Raw genomic sequence first — 14433 nt, forward strand, 5'->3', positions numbered from 1 at the left:
GGCCTCCGAGGACTTTCTGTGACCCCACCAGCGTGGCCCCTCTCCCTCTGGTCTTGCGCCCCCAGGCCAGGTGGGGGCCCTTGGAGGTCTTCCTGACCCTGCTGCCACTGTGCTGAGGGCCAGGCCAGCACTCAGGGTGGCCCCAGGAGCCGGTGGTGGGAGTCCTGTGCCCCTGTCCCCACAGGCTTGGCCCCGGCTAGGACATTCCCGGGCCCCCCTGCTCAGGCCCTGAGCACAGACACAGGCAGGACCACGACCGTGGACTTTATTCATGTCCAGCAGTGAAGTCTGTGGCCCCGGCCCCGGCCCCGGCCCCGGCCCCAGCCCCAACCCCAACCCCAACCCCGGCCCCGGCCCCGGCCCCGGCCCCAGCCCCAGCCCCAGCCCCAGCCCCAGCCCTCCGCAGGGCCCGGGCAGCGTCTTCCGTGGCCCGCCTGGGCCTGTGGTTGTGCGGGAGGCACCTTCTTAGGGCCTGGTCCTCAGTCCAGCTCCCAGGGCCTGGAGGCGGGGATGGGTGGGACGGTCTAGGAGGTGGGGCTTGGGTAGGTTGGCCTGGCCTAGAGCTGGCCCGTCAGCCCAAGTGGGCGTCCAGCTGAATCTAACACCTCTGTTTTTCCTGCACCTGACCCCTGTGAACCCAGCCACCCTGAGGCAACGCTGTCCACAGAAACCAGGATGCAAGTCCCCCAGTGCAGCAGGCACAGGAGGCTGCAAGGCAGGGCCATCGCCAGGGGCAGGTACCCCAGGGGGGCCCACAGGCTGCCTGTAGATGGAACAGGGAGGCCACCATCAGTCCCACCAGACGCTACCCCCATATCCACCCCCTAGAGCCAGACAGGCCTGGGCAGTCCCTCCCTCTGGCTGGGGAGGGTGGGGACAGCCAGCGAGGACACCCACCTGCGGCTGCTCTCCTGGGACCCAACAAAGGTCTCAAAGTTTCCCCTGCTCCCACTTTCTGCTGGTCAGTGGGTTTTAGGAGAGGCAGCTGTATCTCTAACTCAGTGGTCAATGAAGGGTGAAGCAGGGTTGGCCAGCCTCATCCCAGGAGGCAATGGACAAAGCTGGTGGACAGGCCTGTGGGAGTGGCCACGAGGCGGGGACGGGTCTGAGAGGGCCCTGGGCAGAGGGGGCCAAGCCGGAGGGGTGCGGGGGCCATACCTGAGGTGGAGGCCTGGGCATCGTTCGTGGGCAGGCCCGAGGTGTGGACCAGATGGAGCACTTGGTGGGTGGTGCTGGGGGGCCCCCTGGTGCCGTGGGCTGGGCCAGTGGGGCTGGTGGGGCTGGCGTCCAGGCCGAGCTGGCCCAGGGTGGAGCTGTTGAGGCTGCGCAGCCAGGCCCTGACGGTGGGGTGGCTGCGGGCCTTCTGAAGGTCTCCCACGTTGTGGCCCAGCAGCGCAGTCACGTTGCCAACATCCAGGCTCTGCGGAGAGGGGTGGGGCAGAGGGGCCGTGGGGCCAACTTCTGGGCCAGGGGAAGACCCACAGGGTAGGGCCAGACCCAGGATGGGGCAGATGGCGGGAGTGAGGCCCAGAAACGGCCTGGAGGAGGGAAGTGGGGGTATGCTGGCTGTGACCTGTGACCTAGGGGCTCCCCTGCCTGGGACAGCCCTGCACCCCCACCCCCACCCCCACCCCCACCCCCACGGGGTAGCCCAGCCCCACCTGCAGCTCGAGGGGGTTCAGGCTGGTGAAGGTGTCGATGTCCATGGAGATGTTGGCGTGGGCCAGGTGCCGCAGCTCCTCCACCGGGGCGCCGCCTGGGGGGACGGGTGAGGGGGGCTGGGCTCCACCAGGGGAGCCGCCTGGGGGGACGGGGTGAGGGGGGCTGGGCTCCACCATGGGAGCCGCCTGGGGGGATGGGGTGAGGGGGGCTGGGCTCCACCAGGGAAGCTGCCTGGGGGGACGGGGTGAGGGGGGTGGGGCTTCTGGGGGAGGGGTGCCCACCCATGGACAGGGCTCACCGAGGTAGGGGCGCATGAGGCGGTAGTAGGCAGCTAGGGTCCCGCTGCTGCCGAAGGTCTCATGGGCCTTGGTGTAGAGCACGTCCTTCCGGCTCTGGGGGCAGGAGGAGAGGTCCAGGGCCCCGGCCAGCCTGTGGGAGGCGGGAGGCTGAGGAGTTGGTCGCCAGCCCCCCACCCTTCCAACGCTGGGCATGGCCCTCCCTTCCCAAGCCACAGCTTTCCTCTCACCCTCTGTCCTGGGGGAACAGGGTCCCCCAAATTCACATCCACCCAGAACCTCAGAATGTGACCTTGTTGGGAAACAGGGTCATTGCAGATGGGTAAGATGAGGTCAGACTGGATCAGGTGGGCCCTAAACCAATGACTGGAGGCCTTCTAAGAACAGGGAAAGCTGAGGGCTGGGTGCGGTGCTCTCACCTGTCATCCCAGCACTCTGGGAGGCCTGGGCAGGTGGATCACGAGGTCAGGAGATCGAGACCAGCCTGGCCAACATGGTGAAGCCCCGTCTCTACTAAAAATACAGAAATTAGCTGGGCGTGGTGGGCGCCTGTAGTCCCAGCTACTTGGGACGCTGAGGCAGGAGAATTGCTTGAATCCAGGAGACAAGAGAGAGGTTGCAGTGAGCCGAGATCACGCCACTTAACTCCAGCCTAGGTGGCAGAGTGAGACTCCATCTCAAAAATAAGCAAACAAACAAAAAAGGGAAATCTGAGGCTGGGCGTGGAGGCTCACGCCTGTAAATCCCAGCACTTTGGGAGGCTGAGGCAAGAGGATTGCTCTGAATCCAGGAGTTTGAGACCAGCCTGGGCAACATAGTGAGACCCTGTCTCTTAAAAAAAAAGAATACGAAATGTGGACACAGACGGGGGAGAGCGCAGCGTGAGGATGGAGGCAGAGCTGGGGTTGATGTATCCATAAGCCCAGGGGCGCCAAACCTTGTCAGCAATGCCAGAAGCTGGAGGAGGCAGGAAGGGTCCTCCCTGCAGGGTTCAGAGGGGGCGGGGACTGCCAGCACCCTGATTTCAGACCTCTGGCCTCCAGAACTGAGAGAATATATTTATCTTTAAAATTACCCAATTTGGCCAGGTGCAGTGGCTCACACCTGTTATCCCAGTGCTTTGGGAGACCGAGGAGGGTGAATCGCTTGAGGTCAGGAGTTCCAGACCAGCCTGGCCAACATGGTGAAAACTCATCTTTACTAAAAATACAAAAATTAGCCAGACATGGTGGTGGGTGCCTATAATCCCAGTTACTCGGGAGGCTGAGGTGGGAGGATTGCTTAAGCCCAGGGGGCAGAGGTGGCAGTGAGCTGAGATCGCGCCACTGCACTCCAGCCTGGGTGACATAGTGAGACTGCCTCAAAAAATAAATAAATAGGCCAGGCGCGGTGGCTCACGCCTGTAATCCCAGCACTTTGGGAGGCCGAGGCGGGCGGATCACAAGGTCAGGAGATTGAGACCATCCTGGCTAACACGGTGAAACCCCGTCTCTACTAAAAATACAAAAAATTAGCCGGGCGTGGTGGCGGGCGCCTGTAGCCCCAGCTACTCGGGAGGCTGAGGCAGGAGAATGGCGTGAACCCGGGAGGCGGAGCTTGCAGTGAGCCGAGATCATGCCACTGCACTCCAGCCTGGGTGACAGAGCGAGACTCCGTCTCAAAAAATGAATAAAGTCACCCAGTTTGTGTACTTTGCTCAAAGCTAGAGTCCAGCCAGGGCAGCCCTGGGACTAATGCACCCCTGATGGCCTGGCTGAGCTGCACTCCCTGGCCTCAGTTTCCCCTCGCGGTCCTCCTTGGCTGAGGCGGGAGCTGCCTCCGAGGCAGTGGGGGGTTGGGGTTGGGTTTGGCTCACCGGAGCTCCTGGGGATGGATGGTCTGGATCTGGTGAGGACTCATCCAGCACAGGCGGGTGCCCCCGATGGCCAGCAGCAGGGCACCGGAGACTGTGCCATTGTGCTCCAGAAACTTCTGCAGCACAGCCTGGGGGCAGAGCCCGGGTCAGTGGGGCAGGCTGGGGCCTGGGGCCACCCACCTGCCCGCCCACCCAGGTGCCCTCACCTCTGTCTGGTTCTCCAGGGCCACGTCGGAGGCCAGCAGAGCCATGACCGTGTCCTGGGAGGTGATGCTCCACTGGCCGATCTCGGTGCGGGAGTAGAGGTAGACCAGCGAGGTGATGAGCCGCAGCTGATCCTCCGGGAGGCCTTGTGGGTAGATCTGAGCAGGTGGGCAGGGCTAGGCAGGGTCAGCAGAGGTGCCGCGCCCACCGGCCTCCCTGTCCCCACAGCCCAGCCGTGCACCTGTGCGAGCTTGGCCTTGACCACATGCTGGCACTCAGTGGGCAGCAGGTGCTGCAACAGGGTGTCCAGGTTGGTTCTGAGGATGCAGCCATCCAGGCAGGACTCAAGCTCTGCACAGTCGTAGTGCACCAGGAAGAGGTCGTCCCGCAGCGTGGCGGCCGTGATGTTGCCTCAGACACAGGGTCCCCCTGGGGGGTGTGTGGGGTCCAGGCTGGTAACCGGGGCCTGGGCCAACCACCACTGCTGGCTCTGGGCGCCTTTTTTTTTTTTTTTTTTTTTTTTGTGAGAGAGTCTTGCTCTGTTGCCTAGCAGCAGGGTGCCAAAGGCTGGAGAGCAGTGGCATTGATCTCAGCTCACTGCAACCTCTGCCTCCCGGGTTCAAGTGATTCTCCTGCCTCAGCCTCCCGAGTAGCTGGGATTACAGGTATGCGCCACCATGCCAGCTAATTTTTGTATTTCTAGTAGAGACGGGGTTTCACCGTGTCGGCCAGGCTGGTCTTGAACTCCTGACCTTAAATGAATCATCCCGCCTCGGCCTCCCAAAGTGCTGGGATTACAGGCCTGAGCCACTGTGCCCAGCCCCCTTTTTTTTTTTTTTTTTTTTTAAGGCAGAGTCTCGCTCTGTCGCCCAGGCTGGAATGCAGTGGCACAATCTTGGCTCATTGCAACCTCCACCTCCCAGGTTCAAGCGATTCTCACTCCTCAGCCTCCCGAGTAGCTGGCATTACAGGCATGAGGCACCACGCCCGGCTAATTTTTGTGTTTTCAGTAGAGATGGGGTTTCCCCATGTTGGCCAGGCTGGTCTCGAACTATGGACCTCAAGTGATGTGCCTGCCTTGGCCTCCCAAAGTGCTGGGATTACAGGTGTGAGCCACCGTGCCCGGCCCAGGCCCCCTCTTTGACCCCTTCCCCTCCACTTCTGACCTTGGTCAGACCTTGGCTTTCCCTGAGTTCTAACCAAGAACTTGTCCAAACTACTTCTCTGAAGTCAGCCAGGCCCGAGGGAAAAGCTGGACCGGTGAGGTGCAGGGTCGCAGGCCTCAGTGGCCATCCTGACCTGTGCTGAGCCTGGGCCTGGAGGACACTGGTTTGGTCTTGGACTCCAGGAAGCTGGTGACGAAGCACCTGGCCTCGCGCTGGCCGAGCCTTCCCACCTGGCACGAAGCCACCACGCTGCGGAAGAAGCCCAGGCCCACGGCCTGGCGGGGCAGGTGTGGGCTGAGGTTGGTGGCCCAGGTCCCCGTGCCACGGCCCGCTTGTGCCCACCCCGGGGCCCCCTCCTACCTCCTGCACCTGCGCCCACAGGTGAGGGCTGATGTATGTGGCCAGGGGCCCCAGGGCCTGTAGCCCCTCCAGTGTCCAGGAGCCAGGGGGCCTTGTGCACAGAATGGGGCGCAGTGTTGGGTCCAGGGCAGGCCCCCCGCCCTGGGAGCCCCTGCCCCTCTGTGGACACCCAGCAGGCCGGAGGAGCACCCAGTAGGTGCTTGACCACCCAGCCCCCGACTGGCACCCACGAGAGGGATGCCCCCACCACAGCCAGCGGGACAGCACCCCAACCCTCTGCCCCCTCGGCCGCAGGACCCAGTGAGGCTGAGGCCAGAGGTCAGATGTCAGTGGGCTGCGGACATCGGTGACCTCTTGGGCCGACCCCGGGCTGCCTCCCGTCTCGTCCCCGCCTCCTTGCCCAGCCCTGTGACCCCACCCACCCGAGCGAGGTCTTCCCACCGGCCAGCAGTGAGTTAAGGGCAATGCGCTGGGCAGCGGTCAGCCGGGGGCAGCGCCGCAGGTTCTCCAGCATGTGGGGGTCTGCGGCACCGATGCTGGACGCGTCCATGTCACACACCAGGGCCCCGAGCAGTTGCTGGTCGGAGGCGCTGAGTCGCAGGCGGGCCACCCCCTGCAGGGCCAGCAGGTCGGCGCCCAGCGGGAGGCTGCCTCCAATGCACCGGGCCCATCCTGCCCAGGCGCCCACCAGACAGGCCACAGCCACCCCCCACACGCTCCGGCCCACCCCACCCAGCGCCCACCAGGCAGGCCACAGCCGCACGCCACAGGGCGACCCTCTGGTCGGGTAGATGGCTCAGCAGCTCCACGTCCCCCTGGGCGGCACGGCGGATGAAGGCCCGGCAGTCGGCTTCCCGCACCTGGCTCAGGCTACAGGTGAGTGTGAGGCTGTCAGGCCGACTGGGGGTGGGGCCGGACCTCCCAGCAGCCCTGAGATGCCCCTGGGGCTTTGAGGGCCCCCAGGACTCCTGTGGCCGGGTGGCCGGGCAGGGAGGGGCACTCACTTGTAGAAGAGCAGCAGGTTGGGTGGGTGGAGCGTGAAGTCGTCCTGGAGGCCGCACCGTGACGCCAGGTTGGCCAAGCAGCTGAGCTGGGCAGAACGGCGCTCCCTCGTGACTCTGGACTCGCCGTGGCAGCCCGTGGGCGCCCTTCCCCTCTGCGGAGGCCTCAGGCCCCAGTCCCCACCCACTTCTCGGCCCCGTTTCCCACATGTCGGGTCATCCCCACGGCCACCCGTGCCTGCCCCTCTGCCTGGAGGGGAACCCCGCACAGCAGAACAGGCCTCCAAACGGCCGCCCCCAGCCCCAAAGCCGCCTCCTCACTGACGGGGTGTTAAAGCACACGTCCGGATGCTGGGCGGGTGTAGACGATTGCCTGTCTCCACCAAGGAGGCCCCACGACGCTGGGGTTGGGGGTCTCCTCCAGCACAGCCCCTTGGCAGCTTCCCAAGTGGACTCTGGGTGGTGCCCCTCGGCTCCACCTGACAGCCTCCTCCTGGCATCGGGGCTCTGCCAGGCCCGGCCTCCACCCCCCACCCCATGCTCCCTGAGGCTCTGCTTGCCCCTCTCAGCCTATGCAGCACGCTGCCCAGCCTCAGCGCCCCCTGCCTAGGCTTGTCTAGCCTGGCCTTTGGGGTCATTTCAAGGGTTTTTAGCCCTTTGCTCAGAGGGCCCTTTGCCTGATTTTATGTCAAGCAAGCCCTTGGGACGTACGGTGCATAAGGCGAGGGGCTCCGAGGCAGACAAGGACAGCCCCAGAGTTTTGTGCGGCCCTCACCAGGGTCTCATCCCTGAGGAGGAGCCCACCCAGGGTGGGGGCTCGGGGACCCTCCTGCAGCCTGAAAGGAGCCCCGGGGAATGGAGCAGGGGCTGCCAGCCTCCTGCAGCGCAAGGTCCTCCTGGCTGAGAGGGAGGGGAAGAAAAACTCTTACCCACAAACACCCAGAACGCCTGTGAGCTGGAACAGAATGTTCAGCCTGTTTGATTATCAAAAGAAAGGCCAAAAGCAGGCCAGGTGTGGTGGCCCATGCCTGTAATCCCAGCACTTTGGGAGGCTGAGGAGGGCTGATCACTGGAGCTCAGGAGTTCGAGACCAGCCTGGCCAACATAGTGAGACCCCTGTTTCTAAAAAGAATCACAAAGTTAGGCCGGACGCCGTGGCTCATGCCTGTAATCCCAGCAGTTTGGGAGGCCGAGGCGGGCGGATCACCTGAGGCCAGTCTGAGACCAGCCTGCCCAATATGGTGAAACCTCGTCTCTAGTAAAAATACAAAAATATTAGCTGGGCGTGGTGGCGGCCGCCTGTAGTCTCAGCTACTTGGAAAGCTGAGGCAGGAGAACCACTTGAACCCGGAAGACAGAGGTTGCAGTGAGCTGAGATCGTGCCACTGCACTCCAGCCTGGGTGACAGAGAGAGACTCCATCTCAAAAAACAAAAACAAAAACAACTGTCCCAGCTACTGGGGAGGCTGAGGTGGGAGGATGGCTTGAATCTGGGAGTTGAGGTTGCAATGAGCTGAGATGGTGCCACTGCTCTCCAGTCTGGACAATAGAGTGCGATCTTATCTCAAAAAATAAGTACCATAATAAAATTTTATATGTTTTAAAGAAGAGAAAGGCCAGGTGCGGTGGCTCATGGCTGTAATCCCAGTACTTTGTGAGGCCGAGACGGGCGGGTCACTTGAGGCCAGGAGTTTGAGACCAGCCTGGGCAACATGGTGAAACCTCGTCTGTATTAAAAATTCAAAAATTAGCTGGGCGTGGTATCACGCGCCTGCAATCCCAGCTATCTGGGAGGAGGCTGAGGCAGGAGAATTGTTTGAATCCGGGAGGCAGAGGTTGCAGTGAGCCGAGATCGTGCCACTGCACTCCAGCCTGGGTGACAGAGTGAGACTCTGTCTCAAAAATAAATAAATAGGCTGGGCATGGTGGCTCAAGCCTGTAATCCCAGCACTTTGGGAGGCCGAGGTGGGCGAATCACGAGGTCAGAAGATCGAGACCATCCTGGCTAACGTCGTGAAACCTTGTCTCTACTAAAAATAGAAAAAATTAGCCGAGCGTGGTGGCGGGCGCCTGTAGTTCCAGCTACTCAGGAAGCTGAGGCAGGAGAATGGCATGAACCTGGGAGGCAGAGTTTGCAGTAAGCCGAGATCGCAGCACTGAACTCCAGCCTGGGCGACAGAGCGAGACTTTGTCTCAAAGAAAAAAAAAAATAAATAAATAAATAAATAAAAGAGAAAAAAAGACTGTGGCAATAAGATACCAAATTATAAATGAGACCTACGGCCGTGCCAGGCAGAGGGGAGGTGGTGCCTGCTGGCTGTCCCTCTGTCCCTCCTGTGGCCTCCTTGTCTGAGTTGAAAGCATTCCCTATTGCTGAGTCCATGTTTTACACAGGGCTTTATTCCTTTAACCGGTTACAAACGAAAGAGTCTCTGAATCCACCTATGACTTATAAGCCCCCAATTTGAGATATCCTGCCTTTTCAGGGAGAACGGGCTGATATCTGCCTACCCCGTGTTCCCTGCCTCTTTGCCTGTAACTCCTGCTTCCTGGATGCCTAGAAAACCAGCCTGCAACCCGCCGGCCTCAGGGCGCTCACACCTCTTGAGTCTGTTTCCTCGGGCCGGGATCACTCATACCGCTCAGATAACTCTAAACTATGTCACTGTGTGGTTTTCCCGTGAAGGGGTGGAGGTCTTTCTGCCTTTCCCTTTTCCTGGACGGCCCCGCACAGGCCAGGATCCTGCAGCCCGTGCAGGGAGAAGCCTGTGGGCTGTAAAATCCGCTCTGGGGGCCCCGAGTATGCACCCCAAGTTGGGCACCATTCCCCGCGGAGGTGGGTGGGGAGGGGAGGGTGAACCCTCGTCCTCACTGGGGACACAGTGGGGAGCATCTGCAGGCAAATTGGCTACAACGTCCTGGAATTAGATAAGCCTGGGCTGCACCCGAAAGTCACCCTGCCTCCTGGTGGACCTCCCGTCCTGGGGGGCCGCAGAGACACACTCCAGGTGGCTCTGAAGTTGGTGGGTTGGCTTCCACACAGCCCTCCTGCTCTAGGGGGCCACACACCCTGTCCCGACCGTGGTCACACTGGGTTGTGCCCCAGCTCTCGCTTAGCCGTCCTTCGCCTCTCACACCTGAGCCCATGTGCCCTTCCCTATCCGGGCCCATCCCTCAGAGCCTGGCCTCGGTCACCCGCCCACCCACTCACACTCCTTCCCGCTCACCTGCCAGGCCTGGAGGGGGACCTGCAGCAAGGCCAGCCTCTGGATTAGGGCTGAGAGCTGGTCCCGGGGCAGCTGGCTGGCCGGCTGGCACCAGAAGCCTTGCAGCAGGGAGCAGTTGGCACTGGGCAGAGAGGAGGAGACAGGGGCAGGGAGGGTCCAGGAGGGGTGGAAGCAGCTGAGGGGGGCTGCCTAGCAGAAGGGCATGGGCCGCACGCAGCCTGCAGGACCAAGGTCTGACTCCACCGCTCCCCAGCACTGAAGGAGGGAGAGTGGGAGGTGGTGCCCCGGACACAGGCAAGGTCCTGCTTCACTCACTCACTCATTCACTCATTGACTCATTCATTCATTCACTCATTCATTCACTCACTCACTCATTCACTCACTCACTCATTCACTCACTCATTCACTCATTCATTCACACACTCATTTTTACTCATTCACTCATTTTCACTCACTCATTCACTCATTCATTCACTCATTCACTCATTTTTACTCATTTTCACTCATTCACTCATTTTCACTCATTCACTCACTCTTTACTCATTTTACTCATTCATTCACTCACTCATTTTCACTTATTCATTCATTTACCCACTCACTCATTCACTCATTTTCACTCACTCGTTCACTCATTTTTCACTCATTCATTCACTCATTCATTCGGTCACTCATTCACTCATTCACTCACTCACTCATTCATTCATTCTGTCTTTCATTCATTCTCTCCAGAACACCCTGTGGGGCCAGGCTCTGGGCTGCACACAGAGCCTTATGTGTGGCCCCTGCCTAGACCCTGGGACAGCACTTCCTCCTGAGGCTGGGTCCCAGCCGGCCGGGAGCTCAGGTGGCTCCCTGAACATCCCCGCTGGCTGCTGAGGCACCTGAGGAGGAGACACCCCCACCCAGGGCTTTGGCACCTGCTGGGCAGCCCCGGGGAAGCCGTCTCCCCAGCCTTCCTTGTGGTGTGAGTCTAATCCAGTCCAACACAGAGCGGGCCTTGTGCCACTCAGGACCCCAGCCCTGCCTCACAGACGCCCTGGTTAGTCAACTGACCAGCCTGTCACTGTCACTAACTCTGAAGGATGGGGAGGAGGGCCGAGCCCAGCATGAGGTTCCAGGCAGTGCGGGGAACCAGAGTGTCCTCTGGGGTGGGCAGAGGCGGCAGGGCCTGACGGTTGAGGCCTCGGCAGTGGCTGAAGGACCCACACCCGGCTATGTAGATCCAAAGCTGGACACTGGACGCTGAGTCATCTCAGGGCCCCCCAAGGTGGAGCAAGAGATGACAGCCTCAGCGTGCAGACTGCTGGCGGCCAGCCCCAGACCCCTCCCCATCCCCTCGTCTGACCCCTCCCCTGGCCTGACCAAGAAGCAGACCCCTACTGCAGGAGGGCTGCACTCACCTGGCCCACAGGTTGGCCCCGCTGGCATCCAGCCCTCCTGGGGAAAGAACCTTGGCCTGGGGCCCAGAGCAGTGGGCAGCAAGGGACAGCAGGAGGGTGAGGCCTGAGCTCTGCAGGGCACCTGGAATAAGGTGGGCTGTGAGGGTCCCGGCGGGAGCAGGGGCCGGGGCATCCGGGTCCCAGGGTGGACCTGTGACCCCCACCATGGGGGTCTGCTTGAGGCCAGAGGACATGGAGGAACTTCTGGAGCCCCACAGCACTGGCCACCTGTGCACAGCCTGGGCCCAAGCGCAGGACGTGTCTGGTGGAGCATGCACAGGCGTGATGCTGTGGGTGCATGCAGGCACGCACATGTAGGTGACAGTGTGCACGTGTAAGTGACAGTGTGCACGGGTAGGTGACAGTATGCACAGGTATACAGCACAGGCATGAGGCTGTGGATGCGTGCGGGCACGCATGTGTAGGTGACAGTGTGCACATGTAGGTGACAGTGTGCACGGGTAGGTGACAGTGTGCACGGGTATACAGCACAGGCATGAGACTGTGGATGCGTGCAGGCACGCATGTGTAGGTGACAGTGTGCACGTGTAGGTGACAGTGTGCACAGGTAGGTGACAGCTGTGTGCACGTGTAGGTGATGGTGTGCACGGGTAGGTTACAGTGTGCATGGGTAGGTGACAGCTGTGTGCACGGGTAGGTGACAGCTGTGTGCACGGGTAGGTGACGGTGTGCACGGGTAGGTGACGGTGTGCACGGGTAGGTGACAGCTGTGTGCACGGGTAGGTGAAAGCTGTGTGCACGGGTAGGTGAAAGCTGTGTGCACAGGGAGGTGACAGTTGTGTGCACAGGGAGGTGACAGCTGTGTGCACGGGTAGGTGACAGTTATGTGCACGGGGAGGTGACAGCTGTGTGCATGGGGAGGTGACGGTGTGCAGAGGTAGGTGACAGCTGTGTGCACGGGGAGGTGACAGCTGTGTGCACGGGTAGGTGAAAGCTGTGTGCACGGGTAGGTGAAAGCTGTGTGCATGGGTAGGTGACAGTGTGCACGGGTAGGTGACAGTTGTGTGCATGACTCTGGCAGCGTGTGCGCATGTCCACCTGTGTTGCACATGTGTGAGATGGCAGGTGCATGTGTGTGAGCTCCTTCTACCTCCCTCCAGACGCCCCATGGCTCTGTGTTCTCACAGTGGAGCCCTGAGACCCCTAAGGCAGCAGAGCTGTGGGGGCAGAAGCCACCTTCAAGGGCCCCGGCTGCTCAGCTCTGCAGTGGGGGTCACGGCAGGGCCTCCCAGCAGGAACTGGGAGCCCAGCCCATGTTCCTGCTTTGGAAACCCAGCCCAGGAAGGGGGTTTGGGTGCAGGGGAGCCCCCTTATCTTGCTGGCCCTGGGGAGACCACGTGGTGAAGTCTCTTCTCCGGCAGGCGTCAAGCAGGGGTTGCCACAGCCCACACAGAAATCTGACCACGGCCTCCTGGGCTGCTGGGGCCCGGCCCACCCCTCTCAGGGAGGGTGAGGCATTGGGCAACCCTGGCCTCAGAGCCCAGCCCTGCCTGTGGCCGGACTGCCCGAGAGAACGCTGTCTCCACTCACCCCCACACCGTTTCCCCAGAAGCCATGTCCAGCTGCCTGGGCCAGGAGTGGCCCCCTCTAGCCAAACTTGCCTGCCCTGCCTCACCCTCCCAGGACCCCCATGCCTGCTGGGGAGGGCTGGGCTCACAGTGCCCTGGCAGCCCGACCCCCGTCCTGCTGCTGCTGGGCAGGGCCCACCTTCTCCTTCCTTGGCTTGGGACAGACCCTCGCTCAGGAGAATGGGGTGGCCAGGGCCCTGGGCACTCCCATGTCTACGGGATGGCTTTGCCATGAGGGCCTGGCACTCTGGAGGCCCCCTTTCTGCATGGAGGTCTCGTCTCACCCACTCTGGGGCCCACGTCTGTGCGGCGGCGTGCACTGGTCATCCTGGCTGAGACGTCCCAGGGCAGGAAGGTGCTGGGGCCAAGGGCAGTGGGTCCAGGACTAGCTGGAGAGGCGTGACAGAGGCGAGACACAGGTGAGACACACAGGTTGGCCCCGCACTGCCTCCCACCCCCTGGGGTGTGGAGAGGGAGGGTGCAGTCTAGGTTCACCCAGGGCAGCGGGGCCAGAGCTGCGCCTCTCCCACCTTCGAGGGGAAAGGATCCCATAAACAGTAAAAGGCAGGAGCAGGGAGCGGGAGCCGGGTGAAACCCTGGGGCCTTTCTTATTGCAGGTCGGGGCCTAGGGGACCCATGGGCTGCTGGGTCTCCAATGAACAGATTTCCAACAAACAGCGAGTCCCCCAGGCAGCCTCGTGCAGCCCTGGCTTCATCCCCACACCCGGCAGCCCTGGCAGCTCCCTTTCCCTCTTTGAGCCCCAGCTGTTGGGCTCTTTCGCTGACATCCAGCCCCCAGTGGCAGCTGGGGTAGCCTCAACCATGCTGGAAATGGAAGCTGCAAGGCCAGGGACCCTAGAGGAGTCCGGTACTGCTGTGGGTCACTGCCTCCTCCTGGAGCCAGCCTGATGGCTTTTGGGCACCTCTGGGCCTCCTGACTGTGGCCCAGGAGGGAGACAGGGAGGCTGCCCCATGCAGAGGCAAATGCAGAGGTTCAGGCCCAGCCACAGGTCCGGGACCGGCCCTGCGGGTGGGCTGGTGGTGGCTCCCGCCAGCGTTTCTCACCTGAGCAGAAACCCTGGGTGTGGTGGAGGGAGGTGCTGCCCAGGCTGTGGGGTGGCTGCTCCTGGCAGGGAGTTGTGGACCAGGTGATCCAGACGCAATCCCAGCCCGCCAAGTGCGTCAGCCGCTACCACTGAGCGCCCGGGTGCAGAGGCGGTGCAGGGCGGGGATGCCGGGGTCCCCGCTCACCTCCATGCCTGGCCTGGCAGGCGGCATGAGACTGCCTCGCCCCGCCCAGTCCCACTCCCACGGTGACGCCCGCCAGGCAGTCCTGTGGGGGAGGCCCGGGCTGTGCCAGGCGATGCACCGCGTCAGCCCCTGGGGACCTCAGGCACAATGGGCACCTACTCCCTTCCCCTAGAGCAAAGGCTGAGCTCACGGCTGGCAGCTGCCCAGCTCACACCCCTCCCCACCCACTGGGGCCCTGCTCTGCAGCGTCTGTGCCCCAGGGGTCATGTCGTGCGCCTGCACCTGAGTCTGCCGTGTTTGCTGGTGCCTGCGTGTGCACAGGTGCCTCTCGGGCCTCCTGGTCTGTGTGCCCGGGAGCACGGACACAGATCCACCATGTGTGC

At 62.0% G+C, this 14433-nt stretch overlaps 1 non-coding gene and 1 pseudogene across 1 annotated transcript; one reads left to right on the forward strand and one right to left on the reverse strand.

Annotated features, from left to right (window-relative positions):
- MSLNL (mesothelin like) lies at positions 558–13126 on the reverse strand (annotated as a pseudogene).
- On the forward strand, positions 1313–1407 carry MIR662 (microRNA 662). The gene has a single exon (NR_030384.1). It is a non-coding gene; the product is annotated as a microRNA 662 (primary transcript).

Source organism: Homo sapiens, chromosome 16 (assembly GCF_000001405.40).
Source record: "Homo sapiens chromosome 16, GRCh38.p14 Primary Assembly".
NCBI lineage: Eukaryota > Metazoa > Chordata > Mammalia > Primates > Hominidae > Homo > Homo sapiens.